Source organism: Homo sapiens, chromosome 5 (genome assembly GCF_000001405.40).
Source record: "Homo sapiens chromosome 5, GRCh38.p14 Primary Assembly".
NCBI lineage: Eukaryota > Metazoa > Chordata > Mammalia > Primates > Hominidae > Homo > Homo sapiens.
This window is the reverse complement of record NC_000005.10, coordinates 5465567-5490986: the sequence shown is the minus strand read 5'-3', so window position 1 is coordinate 5490986 and position 25420 is coordinate 5465567. Positions and strand designations below refer to the sequence as shown.

The following is a 25420-nucleotide window of genomic DNA, read 5'->3' as shown; positions in this document are numbered from 1 at the left end:
TGGCAGTTATCTAACCTGATCCCATGGACACGTGACAGGTGTTTTGGCTCCAGCAGACTCCTTCTGGCACTCATGGGATTGTTGCCTTGCAGGGCTGCCCCAGCAGGGACATTCCTCCTGCCTGCTTTCAAGTCTGGGTCCCTCCATCCAGGTCCTTGTAATGTTACCTCCTCAGAGAGATCCTCTTCGACCACGATGTGGAAAGAGGCATCTACCCTGCTACTCTATACGCAAAGCTCCAGGTTTTCTTTGTTGCTATTTCCCCAATTTATGATTGTTGTATATACTGGGTGACCACTCGTTTAGGATTTTCCTCTACCCAAATGCCATGTGACTAGCTCCTCCCAGCAAGGCACCTGGCAGAGTATGTTCAACATATTGGTAGTAAGAATGACTATCAACACAAAGCTTCCGAAAGGACAACCAAGTGATTTAAAAATTTCAGTTCTGCCTGTTATAATTACTTAAGGAAGGAGTAACAAAATTGCTGCCAAATGCAATTGTTAAAGGGCAGCAGCTGTAATTAAACAAAAAATCCAATCATGAGGGCCTGTAAACACTTAATTATCTGGCATCTGGTATCACTAAAGAGCATCTCCGTAAATACTCAAAGCTGGGTAAGTACTGGCAATGCAATGTTTCTATCACCAGAAGGCAGGTCTCTTTAGGAATGACCATTTTCTTCTATCTTTGGTTAGATGTCTTCTTCACCCTTGGTAGAGCAGAAGTAACACCCAGTTTCACTCTAATAATCAGAACAGTAATATCCATGGCTTACTTTTATTTTTTATTATAAAAACACATACAAGAGTTTTAAGAAATAACGAATATAAGACAAATCAAAACCATGGTGAGTTATTAAACCCATTTTCTATATACAAATACTAAAATTCCCAAAGTGGAATATCATCCAATGTGAGACACATCATAGCACGGTCCATATGTACACGGCACACAGAGCTCTGCCTGCGCTCATCTGTGAATTGCTCATTACATGTCACTGATAAAAAAATCTGCAAGGGAACTTCTACTCTTCAGTTCTCCTCTTCCTGATGCATTGTCACATATTTTTAAGGAACTTTAGGGATATGAAGAAAATGCATTAAAGTGGGTTTCTGCTAAGGGCTCTGCATGTTTTGCTCTGATCAATTACGCACTACATCTTGAGAAAAACTTTTGCAACTCATTTCCAGCAAAGATAGCAGAAAACTCTAGGTTTTTGCCAATTTATTTTTTCCTAGTCACTCATTGGAACACAAGTCCAACAACAACAGCTCAGGAACCAAATCATGTTTTTATATTGGTAAGTTCATTATAAAATGCCACTCAATTTTAAGAAGCCACTAAAAGGACACTTTCTGCAGCAAAAAAAGGGCTAAGTTCAAGTTTTTGTTGTTTGACAAAGACACAATAATATAACCCATATGTCACAGATCACAACAGCCTTAAGTGAAACGTATTAGATTTAGGGAAAAACGACTATGCGACTGCTTGTTTCTCCTGTCTCCTTGCCAAACAATAAGGAGAGCCTCTGGTCTGTTTTATCTATTTTATGTCTTTTTGTTTTGAAACCTCCCTTTGTATTCTGAAAGCTGATCAAACTATTTGTGTTCAAAATGTGTCAAGGCACTTCTCAAGCCTCAGTGGCATCCCAGGTCAGCCAAGCTCCTCTGTGCTCAGGGCACTGACTTCCTCTAGGCAGCTGACAATCGCAGACGGAACGCTTTTGGAGGCCTCTCTCCGCCAAGCTTCCAGGATCTTGGAAATTTCTGCTGGATTGCTGGGACTCAAGTCACAAAGAGCATACACGGCTGCTAACTGTATACCCCATGGTATATCTGAAAAGAAATTTCAGATCAGTCATAAAACAAGAAAATATCTGTTATTCAAAATTTTAGTGATGTAACCTACTGGAATACTATTCAAATACAGAATGCTTTCTGCCAGCAATGAAAATTAAATATAAAAAAACCCACAGTAAAAAAATTCATTTAAGACCTGTCCACAAATAAAAAAGAAGAAAAGCCAGACAGTAGCTGTCTGTAGTTTCCTGGCCCCAGCAGTGTTCTGAGGACTGTTTGTGTGTTTTTAAAAAGGAGAGGGCCTCCAAGATCCCAGTCACCCACGGCCACGACTGAGCTTCCCAAAACAGTTCTGGAAGGATCACACTCCCATATTTAAGTTTTAATAAAACGTGATCCTAAAACCTTCATTAAACATATGACTCTATGAGATATCCACGGGAAGCATTTATAAATGGACTTTGGAAATGAGAAAACATAATAAGAGATATAATGAAAAACTTTTTGTAGCGTACCATACTTTCAAAAACTACAGTGTATGATTCTGGATTACAGCTAAGTTATACATTACAGTGTATTATCACAGTTCTCTTTTAAGGTAAGTTTATTTCAGAGTTATGAAAATTTCATTTACTTAGATAATTTAGGTTAAACAATTTAGGAGTTAAAGTTGGAGGTTGCACTGTATTCCTACTCCAAAAATCTGAAATCCAAAATGCTCCGAAGCTGAAACTTCTGGAGCATCAACATGACCCACAAAGGAAATACTCACTGGAGCATTCTGATTTTCTGATTAGGGATGCTCTCAACTCATAAATATAAAGGAAACACTCCAAAATCCAAGAAAATCTGAAGTCTAAAACACTTCTGGTCCCAAGCATTTCAAATAAAATATACTCAATGTGTACCTCAGTTTTCTCCAACAAGGTAAACTAGCACTATTTCAAATAATACAAAAGCCCACACATTCAAACATGAATGCTGACAAGCAGGCACAACTGCAGCTCTTAATATTACTCCCCCCCATAAACCACAAGCAATGAGAAAGCACAGAGCACGGGGCACACAGTAAGGCCATGACTCAAACAAATAAAAAAGTGTAACAGTAAGAGAAACACAAGAGGTTAAAAATAATTTTAATAAATAACAGCATGTGGCACTATTTAAAGAGCTAGCTCTGGAGAGGGACAGACCTGGGCAAACAGCAGGGATGGCACTTCCTAGCCTCACCTTCAGCAAATCACTCTTCTCTCTGAGCTTTGGTTTCCTCCTGTATACAAGAAGGACAATGCCATCCACTCAGATGGCTGTCTTGGGGATCCCGTTAGGCTGTGGGGCAGTGCCATGCACAAGGTCTAATCTATAGCAGGCCCCAACATCAGCTCCTCCTTCTCCCTCATGGGGACGAGGATTACCACAGCTTCTAGGTTACACCCACTGTAGTATCAGAGTAAACTGCATCTGCTGGCAAAACAACTCATTAGCCATTATTCTGGCTACTTTCTTTTATGTCAATATACAACCTCAATTGTAAAAAAGTACACTGTAATATGGAAGAAATGTGTACCACTTCAGCAGCTATCCTAAAGTTAAAGAAGGTATTTCAGATAAAGCAGCTTAAATGAGAAACACTGTTCTCATTAAGCTAAATATACAGTCTCCCACTGAAAGCTGAAGACAACCTACCATGTTAAGATCATCTTGGGTGTTATACAGTATTTAAAATGTAACTCTGTGCATTTCTGATGGCATGTTGCTTAACTGTATTATTCCTTGATTATACAATATTCAAAATAAAAACTAGATTCATCCCTTATAAGAGTTACTTTGAGTTAAGCTTCTCCCACAAGAGATAAAATTACATGCTATGCAATACGTAAATGATAATAGAAATCCCCACTACGAAGCCTTGCTCACAAGGTCTCCAGGTTTCCAAGCTCTCCCCCCTTGATGCTAAGTACTCTGTGATACCTGGCATCTCACTGTACATCACGGATTTCATTCCGTCAAGACACAGCTCCACCCAGGAGGCCTCGCAGAGAGCCCAGGTTAAGTCACTTGTCAGGGATCACACAGTACAGAGTTTTAGAGGCAGAATGTTAGCCGCAGGAAGAGAAGAGACTTTCTTCTTCCTTAGGAAAGCAGTGCCCAACAAGGCAAACGACTTTTATTTAAGTAATCAAATACCACCACAAAATCCACACACACATTCCAATATTAATGCTGGAATGTTTTGCAAATATTCCCTAATCTATGAGGCAGCAAGCAAAGCACAGAGCACAGCACACAGCAAGGACCCCAAAAAAGGTTTAACTATGAGAAACACAAGTTACTTAAAAGTAATTTTAATAGATGTAAGTTTTACCTTCATCGTGAGCATGCTGTATAAACATACCAATAACCGAACTAATATTTTTCACAGCAGATGGAAATCCTTCTTTCAAACCCAATTGGCCTAAACGACCTAGGGGAAACAAACCAAAATGTAAACAGTCCAGTTAAATGTTGATTAACTTTTCCTAAGAATTTAAAGGTCCACTTCTCTTACAAGAGGTGATCAAAATGCCTCATCATTTCGTCTTGCAATCACCTATACCAGATGATATACAATGTGTTGCTTTCCAAGTTACAATGGAATAAATAGAATTTAGAAGAAAGAATGGTTTCAGTAGGGCCAATGTGAAACGCCTGACTTCTGTTAAGTTAACAGATCAAAGATAAGACTATGGTCCCACCAAAATATGTATTTTTGGTCTGACACTTTGGCAACTGCTATTATACCACAGAGCAGTAATTCTCAAGTGTAGTCTACAGAAACCTTAGTGTCCTCTAAGTCAAACTACTTCACAACAATGCTAAGAAGTTAAGTGCCTTCCTCCCAGTGCTGACATGTGGTCTGATGGTGCAAAAGCCACAGCAGATCAAACTACCGGACTGTGAGTGCAAGTCAAGACAGTGGCACCTCGCTAAATGGGAGTTATTCTCCACTGCCAGGTGCTCACACTCAAAAAGCCAATTTTACTTAGTCACAATTACTCTCACTAAACCTGGACCCCTAAGCACAGAACTCTGTAACATGCTGTAGACGGCACAGGAAGCACTCCCCCATACACTGAGTACACTGGTTGTTGTGAAGAAATGCACTTATCCAATTGTTTGTCTTGTGAGTGAAATTAGGCGCTTTTTTCTCATAGGACACCACCTTTGATTGAAAGAACTGACAAACTATGGCTAACTGGAACAACGCAGATTTTTTTCAACAATAAACAAAGTGAACCTGTAACTTAAATGAACTTTATCCTCGTGGTCAATAACATCTGAGCTTTTAAGCAAAATTAAAAGTTTGGAACAATTTTCATCAGCTATCCTGAGCTTGACAGCTTTACAATATTTAAGACTTTTCTGTGATGAGATTGGTGATATTAAATGTGATTTTTGGGTATTGTTGGCATTTCGAAGATCTATGTCAATCAATTATTTTCCAAGTGAATAATGCAGGTTACAAAATCATAAGTGGGCAAAAGGATCCCTTCAACATTTAAGCTAGCTCAATGGATTTTAGTGTAACAAGGTATAAAAAGCTCACTGACAGCATTTCAGATTTCACACTTCAAGTACCCTTTAAGAAATTACTACTTGTTGAGTTTTATTGTAGCATCAAAAAAGAATATCCGTATTTGAAAAGGCTAGTAAAAGATTCTGCCCTCCATTAACTGTGTATTTGTATGAGAATGGGTTTTCTTCATATATTCAGTCTTACGGATATGAAAAACACACGAGAATGAATGCAGAACAGATAATGAAAAATCAGCCATCTGATATCAAACCAGACAGTACAAAGGTCTGCAACAAGGCAATGCGATTCTCATTATTTTTTGTTTGTTTTGGAAATATAGTTATCTTTCATTAAAAACGTCATTTATGGGTTCATTACTGTTCATTTTAAATGAATAACTAAATAAACAATTTCTGAGTTTTTAATTACTAACAAAGTAAATACAGATAGATGTAACCTGGAGTAACAAAAGTTCTTTGAGGGTTCTCAATAATAACTAACAGGTATGAGAACCAAAGATCCAAGGATGGAGATCACAGGGCAACCAAATTCCCCAAAGGCTAAAGCAAGCAGGATGGCATCATTCCCCCCATTCCCCTACACTCGCAGCCTTCCCTTACTCCAGGAGCTCTCCTATGGATGAGAACTTGCTTCAAAGTGGAATCCTGTTCCCTCCATCCAGGCAAATCCTCATCTTCTTTTGACTCCTAAGTAGGAGAATTGCGAACATATCTTGGATGTGCTTTTACAACAGTATCATATTGTATGCTCAGCGTTCTGTGTTCACATTCTCTCTCAATACTACAAGTGTCCCACAGGTCTATATGTGGATCCAGCATATGAGTTTCATCTCTATTTTAAATGTGGAGAAGCTGAGGCATGGGACGCTTAAGTAATTTGCATTACTTTGTATCCTCTACAGGAACTAGCTTAGTGCTAGGTACGTGCAGCCTGAATATTGAGATACACAGCAGATGCTCAGTACATAATTACTGATCAAAGAATATCAGGATAACTCCCAATGTAAGATGATATTGTAAATATCTGAATAATTTCTAGGGAGCCTAGGAAACTGAAAAGTAATTTACTTCAGAAATCAGAAATTTCAGGTCACTGACCACTTTCAAATATCTCTTTGCAATCAGATTAAACTGCTACCAGCATACCACTGGATCTGTCCTCTGGAACAATCTACCACGGATATTAACTGTATGACTAACAGCAGAGAAAGGGATGCACATCTAGCACAGCTATGGTATTACTCAATCATGGGATGTGCATGCGTTCCCAGGAAATATATCATCATGTTATAAGGGCTCCCTTTCAATTAAAAGCACTTAATGAAATTCAGTTTTATAAGTGATTTAAATTAATGGAGCTAAGGAGTAAAATAAGAGGAAATCATGAGTCTAGTAGATGATTTGGGGAAAAAGACTCAATATACGATGACCTGACAGAGATGACAGATTGGCCATGATGGAGGAAGAGCTCCCCACAGAAGGTATGTGAGGACACTCCAGGGCCATCCAGCCGTATTAGAATACAAATAAGAAATGAGGAGCTAATCTCAACGTCCATGACAATGCAATCCCCAGCACTGTCAAGGGAGCCCCAGCAGAGCTGAGGCCTGCACAGAAAGTAAGTCTACAGGCAGACCCTTCTAATAAACACTAATTAGAAGATAAAGACAGCAGGGTTTTCATTTAAGATTCTGGATGCAAGTTTGCAAAGGAAAGGTGAGCTGACACAATTTCAAAGGAAAGCTGACAGATTTGCCAAGAGAACAGATAGAAATCACTGAATAATGGCTACTTCGGTCTGACCTGCAGAAACCTGACATGTGACACAGTGTTTTTCTAGCTCTAGGTTCCAGTTAATACAAGGAGGGGCAAATTATTCAGGATTTTATAAGCTCTTTGGGGCAGAAAGGTGGTATTCTACAGATTTACACTCCACTGAATCCAGTGGTAGGCAAATTTCTGTCCCAACTTTGCTACCTTTCCACTGGATGGCCTCAGAGAAGGGCTTAATCTTTCTAGGCTTCAGCTCTGCCAAGAACTGAGCACTGCAGTGAGATCAGTTTCTATTCTCCACCACATTTCTGTGACTCTAGAGCAATTCAAGCATTCCACAAAATGCTCTTTAATAGTTAATCATTAAGGTAGGTTGGAGTAAACCCCGTGTACTAATCCTGTGACCATTTGCTGTTAGCAATGCTCACACCTGAATCCAACATTAGATAACGCAAGTCTCACTGACCTAAAGCTTGTTTTACTGTCCACGGAGTAAAAATCTCAATAGGATGTGCAAATTTTGAATTAAGAATAGACAGTGGCCGGGCATGGTGGCTCACACCTGTAATCCCAGCACTTTGGGAGGCCAAGGCAGGAGGATCACCTGAGGCCGGGAGTTTGAGACCAGCCTGACCAACATGGAGAAACTCTGTCTCTACTAAAAAAAACAACAAAAAATTAGCCGAGCATGGTGGCGCATGCCTGTAATCCCAGCTACTCGGGAGGCTGAGACAGGAGAATCGCTTGAACCTGGGAGGTGGAGGTTGCAGTGAGCTGAGATCACGCCATTGCACTCCAGCTTGGGCAACAAGAGCGAAACTCCGTCTCAAAAAAAACAAAAAAAGAATAAAGACAATTCCTTTATTTTATGAAGATTAGTGTGTGACTTAAGTTATTATTATTAAATCACAGCCTACCAACTTGATTTTTTACTCAATTTTTCAGTCAAGGTCAGATTCAGAAATGGCAAGAAAGTTCACTAACAGTTTCTCCTTAGTAACAATTCAAACTCTCATCCAGATGAGTGTGTGTGTGTGTGTGTGTGTGTGTGTGTGTGTGTTGGGGGGTGGGGGTGTTAATGTCACCTCTGAGAAATCTGCCAGGCCTAAACAGCAGGCTTCACTCACTTTCACCCTTTGCCCTCAGCCCACACTACTGTCCTTGTCACCCAGCAACTGCCTCGCTCTGAGTCCCATCTCCTGCGTATAGTGCCACGGCACGAAAAGGACAGGCAGGACCAGGCTCTGCTGCTCCTCTCCTGTGCTGGTGCACCTGTGCACACGTGGCAGCCCACTAGGCTGTGCTCCAGCCTCCCCACACCCATCTTGCTCATGCACACGACTTCATCAGCAGACCTGAGAAGGGCTTATTCTTCCTGACTTTGCTCCTACTTTGACATTACGCTTTCTAATTATCCATCCTCTGAACTGCTTTTATATGTTTATAAGCATTTTAGTACATGGTATTGTCAATTATATATTATGTTAATTACACATTATTCTTATTCTCTATAACATATAATTGTATTGTATATCAGTCTTAATTGTATAAGTATGCATATATTACTCTAAATAATACATATTATTAAATAGTCATAAATTATTTGGCTCTCAACAGCCAGAATTTTAGATTCAAAGAATAAACTAGACTTGATTTGAACAAAATTACAAGCCATATTTTATCCCTACAATTACACATCCTTCTTTTTAAATAAACTATTAACATATTCTTAATTCACATATTTTAAGGTACATATTTGAAAGTATATAATCTTAAATAGTTTTCTTTAAAAGAGTTTTGTGACATCTAAATGAAAGGTAAAGTACAGTCACAGGTCGCTTAGTCAGGAGACCACATTTTAAGAAATTCATCTTTGAGGAGATTCTGTCCTTGGACAAACATCATCCTAGAGTACACTTGCACAAACATGGATGCAGTAGCCACTACACACCTAGGCTATATGGGGTAGCCTACTGATAGGCTACAAATCTGTACAGCATGTTCCTGTACCGAATACTGGAGGCAACTATAACACTTGAGTAAGCATTTGTGTATCTAAACATAGAAAGGGTACAGGAAAACAAGGTATTATCATCTTCTGAGATCACCTTCTGGTATGTGCTCCACTGCTGATGAAAACATTGTTATGTGGTGAATGACCGTGTATACTATTTTATTTATGGCAATCATTCTTTTCCGAACCCATTATTTCATTAGCATGCCTATAGAGCTTTGCAGACACTACTCTAACACTATCAGAACCTTGGAAGATGGAACCTGAGAATCTATGTTTTTTAAGAAGCTTCTCTGGCAATTTGGATGGCCAGCCAAATTTGGTAATCCCAGAAGATAAACACTAGTTAGAAGAGACACTGGAGAAGACACCAAGATAAATCACAGGTACAGCTGACCCTCCTCTATAAACGCAAAGAGGCTGCTTCCGCTGTCGTATAAGGCTGCTGACCACAAAAAACAGTCTTCACTCTTATTTCCTCTCCAGATTAACCAATACAGAAACACAACCAGTAAAACAAGAACAAAAAAATCACCATATTTTAAAGTGTGACTTAAAAAAATACCATATTGTTTTGAAAATTCCACAGATTATCTAGGATAACATATTTATTTACACCTTAAAACATCTCTTCTAATTTTTTTTAACTCTCAAAAAAGATTTCACAATTTAGAATGAGTCAAAAGCATGAGCATTTTTTCCTGAATTCATAAGAGAAGCTGCTACTGAAATCAGCATTTCCAGATATATAGATGTCACCTAACTATGGGGAATGCCATCACTGACCCTCCTGTGTTCCCTAGCGCTCCACAGCTAGAATGAAAATTGTTCTTGAGGGTATCTTGAACTAAGGAATTCAGCAAAACAGTTTTGAACCTGTACACCACATGGCATAGTTTCATTTCCACTTCTGTGCCTCTGCTTATCTTCTGATGTATCTCTACCAAATTCATAGTCTTTGGCAATCATTTGGTTCTCCTACACTCTTGTTTGGTAACTTATCTCCAAGTGTATTATTGGTTATTTCCAGTGAAATTTGGTGTCTACTTTGTAACCAGGTTTTTGTCTAGAACCATTTTATTTACTTAGGGCAATGTTGCTATATTTGCATGCAAAGTACACACAGAGGAGGAATGCAAATTTGCCGATACAGTAACAAAATTCACAGGGTATTTCCTACTGTGATCTATTTTTAGACTGACTTATATAACCGATTCTCAAACACTAACCTTATTTCAAATGATGCTATCTGTGAGTTTTCATTAAGAAAAATCCGGCTGGGCGCGGTGGCTCCACCTGTAATCCCAGCACTTTGGGAGGCCGAGGTGGGTGGATCACGAGGTCAGGAGATCGAGACCATCCTGGCTAACATGATGAAACCCCGTCTCTACTAAAAATACAAAAATTAGCCGGGCGTGGTGGCGGGCGCCTGTAGTCCCAGCTACTAGGGAAGCTGAGGCAGGAGAATGGCGCAAACCCGGGAGGCGGAGCTTGCAGTGAGCCGAGATGGTGCCACTGCACTCCAGCCTGGGCAACAGAGCCAGACTCCATCTCAAAAAAAAAAAAAAAAAAGAAAAAGAAAAATCCAAAGATACTTAAAAGTCATAATTATCTTCAAAGTATCTAAGGGCTATAATGCAGAAATTGGATGAAGCTTGTTTTATATTCCCCAGGGGCAAAGAATACATGCTGCAGATAGAGAAGTCAGGTCAAAACTAAGAGAGCTTTCTTTTTTCAGTTGTGGAATACACATGCAGAACGTACAGGTTTGTTACATAGGTATACATGTGCCATGATGGTTTGCTGCACCTATCAACCCATCATCTAGGTTTTAAGTCCCACAGGTATTTGTCCTAATGCTCTCCCTCCCCTTACCCCCCATGCCCCGACAGGCCCCAGTGTGTGATGTTCCCCTGTGTCCATGTGTTCTCACTGTTCAACTCCCACTTATGAGTGAGAACATGCAGTGCTTGGGTTTCTGTTCCTGTGTTAGTTTGCTGAGAATGATGGCTTCCAGCTTCATCCATGTCCCTGCAAAGGACATAACTCATTTTTATGGCTGCATAGTATTCCATGGTATATTATGTGCCACATTTTCTTTATCCAGTCTCTCACTGATGGACACTTGGGTTGGTTCCAAGTCTTTGCTATTGTAAATAGTGCTGCAATAAACATATGTGTGCATGAGTCTTTATAGTGGAATGATTTATAATTCTTTGGGTATATACCCACTAGTGTGAGATTGCTGGGTCAAATGGTATTTCTGTTTCTAGATCCTTGAGAATCACCACACTGTCTTCCACAATGCTTGAACTAATTTCCACTCCCACCAGCAGTGTAGAAGCATTCCTATTTCTCCACAGCCTCACCAGCATCTGTTGTTTCCTGACTTTTTAATGATCACCATCCTAACTAGTGTGAGATGGTACCTCATAGTGGTTTTGATTTGCGTTTCTCTAATAACCAGTGAATGATGAGCTTTTTTTCATGTTTGTTGGCCGCATAAATGTCTTCTTTTGAGAAGTGTCTGTTCGTATCCTTTGCCCACTTTTTGATAGGGTTGTTTTTTCTTGTAAATTTGTTTACATTCCTTGTAGATTCTGGATATTGGACCTTTGTCAGATGGATAGATTGCAAAAAATTTCTCCCATTCTGTAGGATGCCTGTTCATTCTGACGGTAGTTTCTTTTGCTGTGCAGAAGCTCTTTAGTTTAATGAGATCCCATTTGTCAATTCAGGTTTTTGTTGCAATTGCTTTTGGCGTTTTAGTCATGAAGTCTTTGCCCATGCCTATGTCCTGAATGGTATTGCCTAGTTTTTCTTTTAGGGTTTTTATGGTTTTGGGTTTTACATTTAAGTCTTTAATCCATCTTAAGTTAATTTTTGTATAAGGTGTAAGGAAGGGGTCCAATTTCAGTTTTATGCATACGGCTAGCCAGTTTTCCCAGCACCATTTAATAAATAGGGAATCCTTTTCCCGTTGCTTGTTTTTATCAGGTTTGTCAAAGATCATGATGATGGCTGTAGATGTGTAGTTATTTCTGAGGTCTCTGTTCTGTTCCATTGGTCTATATGTCTGTTTTGGTATCAGTATCATGCTATTTTGGCTTCTATAGCCTTTTAGTATAGTTTGAAGTCTACTGTGACACTTCCAGCTTTGTTCTTTTTGCTTACAACTGTGTTGGCTATATGGGTTTTTTGGCTCCATATGAAATTTAAAGTAGTTTTTTCTAATTCTGCGAAGAAAGTCAGTGGTAGCTTGATGGAAATAGCATTGAATCTATAAATTACTTTGGGCAGTGTGGTTATTTTCACGATATTGATTCTTCCTATCCATGAGCATGAAATGTTTTTCCATTTGTGTCCTTTTTCCTTGAGCAGTGGTTTGTAGTTCTCCTTGAAGAGGTCCTTCACATCCCTTGTAAGTTTTATTACTAGGCATTTTATTCTCTTTGTAGCAATTATGAATGGGAGTTCACACATGATTTAGCTCTATGCTTGTCTATTACTGATATATAGGAATGCTTGTGATTTTTGCACATTGATTTTGTATCCTGAGACTTTGCTGAAGCTGCTTATCAGCTTAAGGAGTGTTTGGGCTGAGACGATGGGGTTTTCTAAATATACAATCATGTCATCTGCAAAGACAGTTTGACTTCCTCTCTTCCTATTTATTTCTTTCTCTTGCCTGATTGGCCTGGCCAGAACTTCCAATACGATGTTGAACAGGAGTGGTAAGAGAGGGCATCCTTGCCTTGTGCCAGTTTTCAAAGGGAATGCTTCCAGCTTTTGCCCATTCAGTATGATACTGGCTGTAGATTTGTCATAAATAGCTCTAATTATGTTATGTTCCATCAATACCTAGTTTGAGAGTTTTTAGCATGAAGGGATGTTGAATTTTACTGAAGGCCTTTTCGGTATCTATTGAGATAATCATGTGGTTTTTGTCACTGGTTCTGTTTATGTGATGGATTAGGCTTATTGCTTTGCATATGTTGAACCAGCCTTGCATCCCAGGGTTGAAGCTGACTTGATCGTGGTGGATAAGTTTTTGATATGCTGCTGGATTTGGTTTGCCGGTATTTTATTGAGGATTTTCGCATCGATGTTCACTGGAGACGTTGGCCTGAAATTTTTTCTGTTTTGTCTCTGCCAGGTTTTGGTATCAGGATGATGCTGGCCTCATAAAATGAGTTAGGGAGGATTCCTTCTTTTTCTACTGTTTGGAATAGCTTCAGAAGGAATGGTACCAGCTCCTCTTTGTACCTCTGGTAAAATTTGGCTGTGAATCTGTCTGGTTCTGGGCTTTTTTGGTTTGTAGGCTGTTAATCACTGCCTCAATTTCAGAACTTGTTATTGGTCTATTCAGGGATTCAACTTCTTTCTGGTTTAGTCTTGGGAGAGTGTGTGTGTCCAGGAATTTATCCATTTCTTCTAGATTTTCTAGTTTATTTGCATAGAGGTGTTTACAGTATTCTCTGATGGCAGTTTATATTTCTGTGGAATCAGTGGTGATAACCCCTTTATCATTTTTTATTGTGTCTATTTGATTCTTGTCTCTTTTCTTCTTTATTAGTCTGGCTAGTGGTCTATTTTGTTAATCTTTTCAAAAACCCAGCTCCTGGATTCATTGATTTTTTTGAAGGGTTTTTTCTGTCTAAGAGATCTTTCTAATTAATAGATTTTATCACTGATAATTCTGCAGGGCTTGGACAGCAGCTTGTTGAAGACAAGACAGAGGAAAAAAATAAGTAAAAATAAAAATAAAAATAAAGATTCATAGGAGATAAGTAAAAATAAAAACTAACGATTTGTAGCAAATAAGGAAGCAGAACCAAATGGCCATTGAGGTCCTCTTTAAATATGAGATTAAGAAGGATCCATGTCTCATTTAAAATATTTTTAAACAATCATTTCATTTCTGTAATTCGCTTAAGTGACCCTTATCAAGCAAGTATGAAAAAATTGGGCAGGTGGTGTGAAGATATCCTCGATACAGTTTGTTTATCTGTCCCCGCCCAAATCTCACGTTGAATTGTAATCCCCAGTGCTGGAGGTGGGGCCTGGTGGGAGGTGTCTGGATCATGGGAGCGGATCCCTCATGAATGCCTTGGGCCATCCGTGTGGTGAGCAAGCTCTTGCTCTGAGTTCACAGGAGATTTGGTCATTTGAAAGTGTGTGACCCCTCCCCGCTACCCCTCACTTGCTCCTGCTTTCCATATGTGATGTATCTGTTCCCCCATTACCTGCAACCATGACTGAAAGCTCCCTAAGGCTTCCCCACGAGCCAAGCAGGTGCCAGCATTCTACTTCCTGTAAAGCCTGCAGAACTGGAAGCCAATGAAACCTCTTTATAAATTATCCCATCTCAGGTAGTTTTATATAGCAATGCAAGAATGGCTTAATACAATCCTTATTTTAGAAACCAAATGAAACTACAGTATAATTTATAGCGACTTATATATCCTAGTCTTTATGTATATTAGTATTAGCATCTAAAAAGAGCTCAATTGTAACTAAAATGTACTAATATGAAAAATCTTAATCTCTGAAAAAGATGAATAAAACACTAATTTACAAGGAGAGAGAAAGGAGAATGACTTAAGTACAAAAGTATCTACTCTGATGGTTGTAAAATCAGAAATTTTCAAAGTCAGCATATTTTATTATACAGTTAACCCCCCAGCCTTCCACCAAGATATCAATAACAAGAAAAAAACAATAATAAAACAGACAACTTACCAATCAGCCTCAGTATTGAGGCTATAATAATATCAGGAGTATACGCAATGTTTGCATGTCCTTTTCTGTATTTTATCCATTTATCCATCACAGGCCACAGCTCCTTACTATAAAAAAACAACATGAAAAGATGTATGCTCATCATCACTCAAATAATACTAATATCTTATAAATGATCCTTAAGCAATAAGTGAAAGAGGATAACTGCTGAGGATCTAACATTGTAAGTTCAAGTGAGAACAGATACTGGATGCTCACATCTTCTCCAACAGCATAGTTGTGCCCATGCTAGCTTAAACGTGGCTGCAAATTCAGTGCTTGCATCTTGTTCTAATTCTTCTGAACAAGGCTTTGGACAGAGAAGCTGAAGAGCATCCCCAGTGTCCCAGAACTACGAAGTGGTAGAGCCTGAGTTTTCACTTGGACTCTCCAGGTGCAAAAGCAGCCCCTGTGTTTTAGAAGCCAAGTTATCCGGCAGGATCACAGACAAATAAAGCTGTGCATGTAAACCAAAAGGAGCTAAGCCAGAGGAAAACTGTAACTTCAGTAATCAAATAACACTTTAGATGGATAAAAGAAAGTTTCCACTGACTGAAAACAGTGCCAATTCCTCTTTGTCATCTGTTTTTTCAAAAATCTATCTACTTCTTTCATGGTATTCATAAAGTATCACTAGAAAAGTTTAATGTAGACAAAAGAAAAATGATAATTAAAAGCACTCCAAACTCAGTCTCAGATCATTATTACTCTTCTAATTCTGGCTTTTCTTCTAGATACTCCCTACTATCTATGGATGTAAACAACCTGGAGAGAGCCACCAGTGCTGAGGAAGGGAGCAGGGTCGGCAGTTGCTCAGGTGGAGATCCTCATGTTTGATGATGTCTTCATCACGAGTGCAGGGATCGTGGACGAAGCATCTTTGACGGGCACCAGCCCTGGTCTCTTCATGCATAACTGGGGCCAGCAGGGCCCTGCCTCATGGGTTCCCATGAGGATTCAGAAAGCTGAGGCCCACAGCAGGCCCTGACACATCATTATACAGACTGGCACTGGACAGACTGTTCTGTCATTTTCTTATTTAGTAACAGACTGGGAAATACTTTTCCATGTCAATACATAGTAATCCATTCATAGCTATGTGTTTTAATATAGCTATCATCTCATACAGGAGTGCCATGATTTGATTCCTTACTGTTTGACATTCAGATGTCTAATCTTCCCTTAGTGTCAAGATGATGAACAAGAGTAACAGACATCCTTGGACACACATGGATCCATGGACAAGGTAATTTCCACAGCTTCAAGTATCTCAAGGATATGGATTATCAAACCTTTGATGCATCCTTTTTAATGTCACCAACTCCCTTAAACCAGCCTTTCTCAGCCAGGGTTCCACAAGAAAATTAAGACCTACAGAAAAATTATTTGAGTGACAATTTTCTCCATTCTCTCAGAGATGGTACAAAGCTAGTGCCAGAATTATAGATGCACAGAGAAAAGTTAATTTACTACATACAATGAATGTCAGAGAGCTTAATTTTCTCCCAGGTGACAGAAGCTGCTAATTTATAATTTTGAATATTTCTCTTCCCTTTAGGTTTTGTGAGTATCTGTATGTTACGATAATGATAATTAATTTCATTCAACATACATTCGCCAGGTGCTCCCCTTGTGTGGGCACTGTTCCGCATGCTAGGGATACGCCACAAGCCAACCAAGGCCACCCTCCGCCCCTCCAGAGTCATTTCTACTGGGGAGAGAGATGACAATAGCAGAATTGAACAAAAACTAGTGACAGGTACTAAAGAAAAATAAAGCAAGAAAATGTGATAGGGATGAAGGTAGCATTTTTTTTCTTTTTTTTTTTTTTGAGATGAAGTCTTACTCTGTCACCCAGGCTGGAGTGCAGTGGCACAATCTCCGCTCACTGCAAGCTCTGCCTCCCGGGCTCACACCATTCTCCTGCCTCAGCCTCCCGAGTAACTGGGACTACAGGCGCCCACCACCACGCCCAGCTAATTTTTTGTATTTTTAGTAGAGACGGGGTTTCATCATGTTAGCCAGGGTGGTCTCGATCTCCTGACCTCGTGATCTGCCCACCTCGGCCTCCCAAAGTGCTGGGATTACAGGCGTGAGCCACCATGCCCGGCCGTGATGAAGGTATCTTAAGGGTAGTTTTATTAACTCTTATAAAATAAAAACAGTGTAATTTGTAAATGTTTCATCTGCCTTACACACTTAAACGACAAAAATGATTCAAGCCACAATTCAGTGTTCAACAATTCAACCTTACAATAACATATCTTTATTTAAATTAGTAAAATAACTAACCTTATGATGTTATCATGCGTCCAGATCCATTTCTGATGGCAGCAGAGCAGATCAATGGCAAATATGTATTCCCAAGTGTTATCACTTAGGTCTTCACCAAATTTTTCACTAGGTTGAAATTCTGTTTTTGGACATAACTGTATGGTCAAAAGCAGCTTAGAAACCATGAAGCCAACATCTACCGGGGCATTCTAGCAAATGAAAAGAAATAAAATAAAATCTGGAGTTTCAAATAGAATGCATCTTACCTTAGTTATCTAAAAGACTATAATAAGCATTCGATGACTAATCATTTAATCTGAAATAGCTTTTTAAAACAGTTTGACTAAGGAACCATGTTTATCTTAGTCACAGAATGATTACACAATGGTAGCTGGATGAGCCAGATTAAAAAGCAATATAGGCAGGATGCAGGATCCAATCAGGTAGAAAAGAGCTTACCTGTAATCCAGATAGGAAAGCACAGTTTCATCAACTCAAATTAGAGAATTAAAGTTAGAAAGCTAGTTATAATTATAAAAATAAACCTTTAAAAATTCTTTAAATTCTATTATTTTTCTGACATTGAGTATCAGTCTGCCTTTTCGAGAAATTCATAAAACTGAATCAGACAGTAATGAATTCTTATTTCTGGCTTTTTTCACACCTGTGTATAATGTGTTATGATATTTATCCATAGTGTTGCATGAAAGAGTAGTTTGAACTTCTTTTTACTGCTGAGTAATAACCAATTATATGGACATATTACTGTTTATCAATTCACTTTTGACTACTGTTAATGCTGCTATGAATATTCACGTGCAAGCCTTTGTGAGGATGTAAATTTCACTTCTCTTGAAAATACCTAAGAGTGGAACTCCTGGGCCTCTGGCTAAGAAATGGCTTAACTTTATAAGATGGTGCCCAACAATTTTGCAAAGTAGTCATGCCTTTTCACGTTTCCACCAGCACTGCATGAGTTTCATTATAAAAATAATACACATATAATACTCAATATACTTAATACAAGAAAAGGCTTGGGCTTGGAAATTTGCTTTATTACTAGAAGGACTCCACAAGTGAACCTGTAGCTTGGCCATATATATCCTGAAAGGTTCTAAGTCTCAAGGTTTCTATAAGATAATCCATAGCCAAATCATGGTTCAAAATAATACACCTGATAACCAAAACTCAGCCAGAATGGTAAATATTTCCCACTTAGAAAAATCAGTGACTTCGCAACCTGAGCAGATGCAGAAATAAATTTTGACATGAAAGAAATCAAATCCATATATTCACTTTTTTGAGTACCTATTTTACATTTGGCAGTAATTGTGAACATGGGATAATCTGCATGTATACAATACACGCTCCATAAAGTGCTGAGAATCTCCTATGTTTCAGGTGTGGCTGTAATTGAAGTATTTGGTATTAGAATCATAATTTTAATTAGACATGTTTAACAGAATGTAATTAAGTTTGTAAACATTGAATATTTATTACAACTCATGTTCTACATTCAAGAGTTGCTTAAGTGCTTAAAAGATTATGCTTATTAGATTTGAAGGCCTACTTTAAGTGTTTTTGAAGAATACATCTTAAGTTTATGAATATGTTTAAAGTTTTAAGATAATCTGAAATTTGTAAATAAGATTATTTAGGAAATGTGAATCTGTTAAATACATGAGTTAACTAACATTCATCAATGGCCAAAGTAAACACATTCTTACTTTGTTAACAATTAATTGATTTATAAATGAATCATGACTCATGAATTTAAATGCTTTTTTAAAAGGTTTATAAATTTACAACTTTAAAATTCAGCAGTAATTTAAACCAGGAAGTCACTTCTACATATAGAGCATCCTTAAAGATTTTATCACCTCCACCAGAAAAAGTTGGAGGAGGAACCACCTTGAAGAACCCAACCCAGGGAAATACTTCCCACCATGGTTACAGCAGGAATCCCTAACTCATGATTTTAAAAACTGAAATAATTTCAAAATTTACACTGAAGACAATACTACTGATTTCTTGTTAACTAGTAGTATCATATTTAATAAGTTTCCTTCATTTCCTAGTCTAGGAATAATCCCATGGGGGTTTCTTCTTTAATTTAGTAATGTATTGATTTTCTGATTCTGAATTCTCCTTGTTTTATCAGGATAAACTCTATTTAGTTATAAAGTATTATTCTTTGAATACATACTGAAATCTCCTGTTTAGTGACACTTTTTACATCTAAGTGACTCACTAAAAACTGGCTTTTTTCTCTTTCTTATAGCATTTTTAATTGGGTTTTATTACTAGAAATGAACAGAAGGCTTTCAATTTTTCCTCATGCTTAAAATAGATTATAGTTACTTGGTTCTTTAAAGATTAGATTAAAACTCAGGTGGAATCTACACATGTCTTTGTACAGAAAAGTTTTAATCATCTTTTCAACCAGTCTTTTCAAGTTTTCTACCCCAAAGCCAATATTCATCATTTTTATTTTGCCAGGAAATCACCCTGTTTCCAAATCTGCTGCTATAGGACTGCAGGTAGTAGTCTTCTCATTCTGTGTCCTATATGTCTACTTTCCCATTTCAAATCTTCACTATTTTTGCTTTTCTCTGTTTTTGCTGATCTGCACTGTCAGCTATCTATGTTGCTGGCATTTTTTAAAGGTAGTATTTTTGTCTTCTATGTGTTTCTGTTTCTTTTCCACTTAGTTACTACTATCTCTTAAAATTTATTCTTTTTCTCTGGTTCCCTTGTCATATTTCTAATGTTGAAGATGAGTAACAGTTAACTTCATTTATTTTCTGCTAAACAACTAAGACATTTAAGATACTTTAATGAGTACATGTTTTCCAAAAAAGCTAGAGATATTTGATTCTGAGTTTACCTTTTCATTGACTTTTAAGACTGTGATTTTACTTTGCATATTTTATTTGTTCCCAGATTGTCTAAGAATGTATATCTCAATTTCAAAGTAAATGTAAATATTTTGAATTTTTTTTCTGTTAAATTTTACTGAATTATTACCAGGGAATTTTGAGTGTCAAATCTTTGCTTTTAGAAATGAATGTTTTCATGTGGCCAATTCATCATTCATTTGTGCAAATGTGTCATAGATATATAAAAAATACATATTCTTCATACACATTTACTTTTTAAATTAATGAACTGTACTATGTCCTCATTTTTGTTTACCAGATGTTTAATTCTGTAAGTGAGTATTTGGAAATCCTGTAATATAATGGGGTTTTATTCCCCAAGTATTTCTCACCTTTCTTAAAGCTCTATGTATTTTTATTTGATACAATATTTAGCAAATACATTTACTAAAATGTTATGTTCTTCATAAGTAATGTCTTTTTAACCATATCCTGCTTAATTCTGAACAGGTGAAAGGAGATGGGCTCTAGTGTGCAAGTGGAAAGACCAAGTGAGAGCAGAAGCAGGCTGGACAGATAACATTCTGAAGGCGGGTAACCCTCTGAAGGCAAGTAACTCTCCAGACACAGTAACTCTCTAGGAACAGGTAACCCCCTGTAGGCAGGTAACCCTCTGGGAACGGGTAACTCTCTGGAGGCAAGTAATCCTCTGGAGGCAAGTAACTCTCTGTGAACAGGTAACCCTCTGGGAACAGTTAACTCTCTTGGGGCAGGTAATGCTCGAGGCAGGTAACTCTCTGGGAACAGGTAACCCTCCAGAGGCAGGTAATTCTCTGGGAACAGGTAACCCTCGGAAGGCAGTAACCCTCAAAGCAGGTAAGTCTCTGGAGGCAGGTAACCTTCCAGAAGCAGGTAACTCTCCGGAAGCTGGCAGCCCTCTGGAGCAGATATATATGTGGTTGCTGGTATCCATTAGTAGGAGTCAGGATGTCTCTCCTGACACAAAATGACCAACTAGAATTTATGACAATACCTCACATGAATCTACTCTGTTGTGTCTAGATAGATTGATGAAGAGATCATTACAAACTTGCTTTTTAATATTTACCTAACTTTTGACCACCAAAAGCTCTTTCCTTTACGTTTTATAAAAAATAAAAGCCTAACAAATACTAACATCAAAAGTAATAATAAAAAAAGGCAAAACAGCATATAAAATTCTGCTCCACACATAAGCCCAGGGGAGTTTTTAGAAGAGGAAATACATGCTCATTAAAAACAGAAAATAAAATTAAAAAATCAATATCACTGGCTTCAGTACCTCTTCTTGAAGTTCGCTACCGGTAGTTAGACTCTCATTAGGTAAAATGAATGAATGAAAGAAAATGATGAAAGAACACCCATCTAGACACTTACTTTAACATATCAATAACTGAAAATAATAATAAAAGATAACACGGGAACAAACTAGTCAGCATAAAAACAAATTCTATCAACTGGAAAGAAAAATTAAGCATATTAGATTTTAAAAATCCTAATAGGAAAAAACTGAAATATATATATTTTTACCTAAGTATCTATTGAAGAACCAAATAATTTTGTAGCTTCTCTGAGACTTTTAAACATATACACCTATGCGTGGGTTTCATCAGTCACAAATTAGTGTATAACACAAACTGTTAATTAACACAATCCTTTGGTCTACAATTCTTCCTTGAATGTCTCATGCATTCTTAATTAACAAAATGGATAAGCTTAGGCTAAACTGATTAAATTTTAAAAGATCTAGAAAGAAGAAAATGCCTATGAACTAATATAAAACTAAATACACAACAAAATAATTAACATTTATATAATATCTAAAAGTAAGATACTGTAAGAAACAGAAATATGGCTCACCTTTTCCCAATTAAGAAAAGCTCTCAAGCAGTTCAGAACCTCTCCTTTAGCACGTTGCCTGGCAACTAACTGCATTGCTTTATTAATCACCGATTGAGAGAGAAATATATCATGCCACATGTTTGCAATAAACAAAGTTAATTTTTCAGACTCCGGAAAATCTATCAGAAATAAAATAATACAATAACTCTTTGATGTATGATCGAGTAAATAAATTGCAAATTAAGAACAAATTGTATTAATTTCACTGGTGCCTTGCAGGCATCCTGCAATGGAGGAAGCTGTAAATGGGGAGCCCAGATGAGGCTCCAGTCACAGTCATTTCCAAAATCCGTTCTCCAACTTCCTCAGTCTCAGAATTCTCCCATTTGGTATGTGTCATTACAGGCAATTTTTATGCATTACATAGGTTTTGCATTACATAGGTTTTGTATTACATTACATAGGTTTTTATGCATTACATTTACTCATTGAACACATAAAGCTTCTGATTTGAAGAATTTTTTAAAATAAATTCTAGATGACAATTCTTTTGTTGTAAATACTTTCTCCTACACTCTTTGTCTCTTTTTTAAAAATTAATTGAAGTGTAGTCTACAGACAATAAAATAAACTCTTTTAAAGTATAAAGTTCAATGAATTTGGATAAATGATTAAATCCACGAAACCACCACCACAACAGTCAATACCATCATTTCAAAACTTCTCTCGCTCTCGTGCTCTGCAGTATATCACCTCACCCCAGATACAGAGAAGCCCTGATCTATTGTCACTATACATTAGTTTGCCTTTTCTCAAATATTTATTCATGGATTTGTGAAGTAGGTACTTTCTTCTGTCTGGCTTCCCCACTCAGCATGTTGGTTTTGACATTCATCCGTGTTGTTGCATGCATTGGTAGTCTATTCCTTTGTATAGCCAAGTAGTATTTAACTGCTTGATATATCAAAATGTTTTCCATTCACCTGCTGATGGACATTTGTTTCCAGTTATGGGCTCCTATGAGTCAAGATGTTACATCCGCGTGCTAGTTTATGTAATGATGTCATGATCTAACTCTGTGTTTCTGCTGCGTAAGTGCCTGAGTGGAATTTCTGAGCCATAGGATAAATGAATGTTTTAATTTCATAAGAAACTGTCAAAGAGCCTTCCAAAGTAAAGATTTTTATCCTGTTTGCTGTACAATCACATCTTTTTAGTTTTCTTTGTTCTACTTTATCTATCACTGACACATCTAAGAATAGATAGCTCAAAGCATAAACTCACTGCACTAAACTTCATCTGTTAATTTTTGAATCCTATGTTTATCTGGTGACACTTCAGAGTAGAAACAAGACAAATAAATTCTCTCCTTACAGAGTATACAAGCTAGAGGAGCAGAGAGACAGCAAACAAAATATTTAATCTTTAAGAAGTGGTAAGTGCCAGGAAGGCAAATAAAGAAAAATAAGGGATCCAGGATGACTAGGAAGGTATGTGAAATTAATGGAGTGAAACACAAGAGTTGAGGGAAACAGAGCAAGAAAGCTGTCAGCACAAAAGCTTGAGCTAAGAATGGGCTTGCTGTGGTTGAGGAAGAAGAAGAAATCCATCGTGGTCCTGGCCGAGCCCACACCCGTTCCGTCCCACCACCCACCAACTGCTGAACTTCATGTGTGTTTTTGTGATATGACTATGGCCTGTCAGTCCCACTGGACAAGTGTACCTCCATCTGATTTTAATCACCACAGAAATCCCAACATTCACTCCATAATGATTTGTTGAATGAATGACTGAGAGAGTAAACAAAGAAATGAAGTGGGCAAATGAAACACTTCACAGCTTCGTTCACAACAGTAAAAGTGATGGATATACTCAATTATCCTGATTTATAAGCCCCATAAACATGGTAGTCAAAGATGGTAAATGTTTACCACTGAGATAAGACTGATACGATACTAGGTTTCATTTGTATATCATATGATTTAAAAATACTGATGATTTGATACAGCAAAGAATGATTCCCAGTCTGATCCACTAGTAGGGATGGAAGAAATAGTAAAGAGAAAAGAGAATCAAAGGACAACCCTCATGTCACCGTCTCCTTTCAGCTTTCTCTCATCTACTTCTTTTCATCAGCTTACAATTCCATCTTAAAGTTGCTGCCCTTTCCACCTAGTGGTACAGCAGTTTGGCTTGTCACTTACTTTAAAGTATCCCATACTTTAAGGCAACTATATCTAATTCTAAAGCAGCTGCACAGAGCATAGAACAAATACACAGTAATGAGAGATACTCATTTATTTACAAGTGGAAATATAGTGCTGATATAAGTAAGCCCTACTAAAGACCAGGTGCAGCTGGGTATAGCTAAAGCTATTCAATGGACAAAACATAACATTATTTTAAAAGACACACAGTAATCAGAGCTGAAAATATAGACTCCAGTATAAGGGAAAAAGGCAATCGTATATTTTCAATACAAAATTGTCACAATCTAAGCATACCTTCTTTAAGTAGGCTGTAGCAAAACAAACGAGCTCTTTCCAAGTCTCCGAGTTGCCGACAAATACCCACATACACCCTGCAGAGGGCGTGAATGTAATTGTGGTCCATAGATATCTTCTGAATTTTTAGTTCTGAGAGAATAGAGTGAAGCAAGCACTCTGCTAAATGCTGGATTGAAAAAAAAATTAAAAAGGCAATGTACACTCATACTTATCTTCAGCCTACCAAAGATTATCTAAAAGTTACAAAACTTAAGTATCTATTGAAAAAATAAAACTTGCGCTACATCAGAAGGTAGAGCATAGTAACTGGTAAGAACTTACCTAGCATGGTAAATCATGAGAATCGAGGTCGGGGGTACTGAAGAAATCCCCACGCCTGTCTGTTTCCTATGGCTGGTAAATGCTGCAGATGCCAGAATGCAAGTCTCAAAAGACCTAGCTGCATACTGTCACTACCACTAGTCAAATAATCATAATTTCTTGGGTTTTGCCTTATGTAATCTGTGTGAGTATATGAAATACAGTATGTAATTCTACTCTCATTCTTGTTTTCTAAACTCTAATTTACTCTATATACTGTTTAAATTTAAAATACTAAGTAACATTTTTTGTCCTAAGAGGAGCATTACATAATTTGATATATGCATTCACTTCCTTTCAAAGTGACTTACGGAGCTCCTTATGCTTTCTGCAAGGAAGCAATCTAAAAAAATAAATATTTATGCCAAAATGACTCCAAGTGTCTGCAGATAAGCACTAAGTGTGATCCGTCTAGCACTAGAAGTCATCCAAGCAAGGTACCAGTGGATATTTAGAAAATATAGAACTATAAAAGTCCTAATAAACTACATATTTAAATTTAAACCATCCCTTTTTTCCCTCTCTTGACACTAAGCATTTGCTCCTGTTTGATTTGTAACAAAAACTCAAGGA

General features: G+C 37.7%; 1 protein-coding gene across 4 annotated transcripts in view; it reads right to left on the bottom strand.

Moving 5' to 3' along the window:
- Positions 1 to 766: 766 nt before the first annotated feature.
- The window catches only part of ICE1 (interactor of little elongation complex ELL subunit 1), a 67544-nt gene continuing 42890 nt past the window's right edge, over positions 767 to 25420 (bottom strand). The window contains exons 14-19 of one of the 4 annotated variants that reach the window (NM_015325.3): positions 24485 to 24653; positions 21999 to 22159; positions 17239 to 17429; positions 14908 to 15014; positions 4168 to 4266; positions 767 to 1838 (exon numbers count right to left, since the gene is read on the bottom strand). In NM_015325.3, the coding sequence (NP_056140.1) occupies positions 1657 to 1838; positions 4168 to 4266; positions 14908 to 15014; positions 17239 to 17429; positions 21999 to 22159; positions 24485 to 24653 (909 nt within the window). In that variant the 3' untranslated portion in view covers positions 767 to 1656. Of the gene's footprint in view, positions 1839 to 4167; positions 4267 to 14907; positions 16318 to 17238; positions 17430 to 21998; positions 22160 to 24484; positions 24656 to 24808; positions 24891 to 25420 lie in introns of those variants that run through there. The other 3 variants (XM_011513999.3, XM_047417047.1, XM_047417046.1) reach the window with 3 other exon arrangements.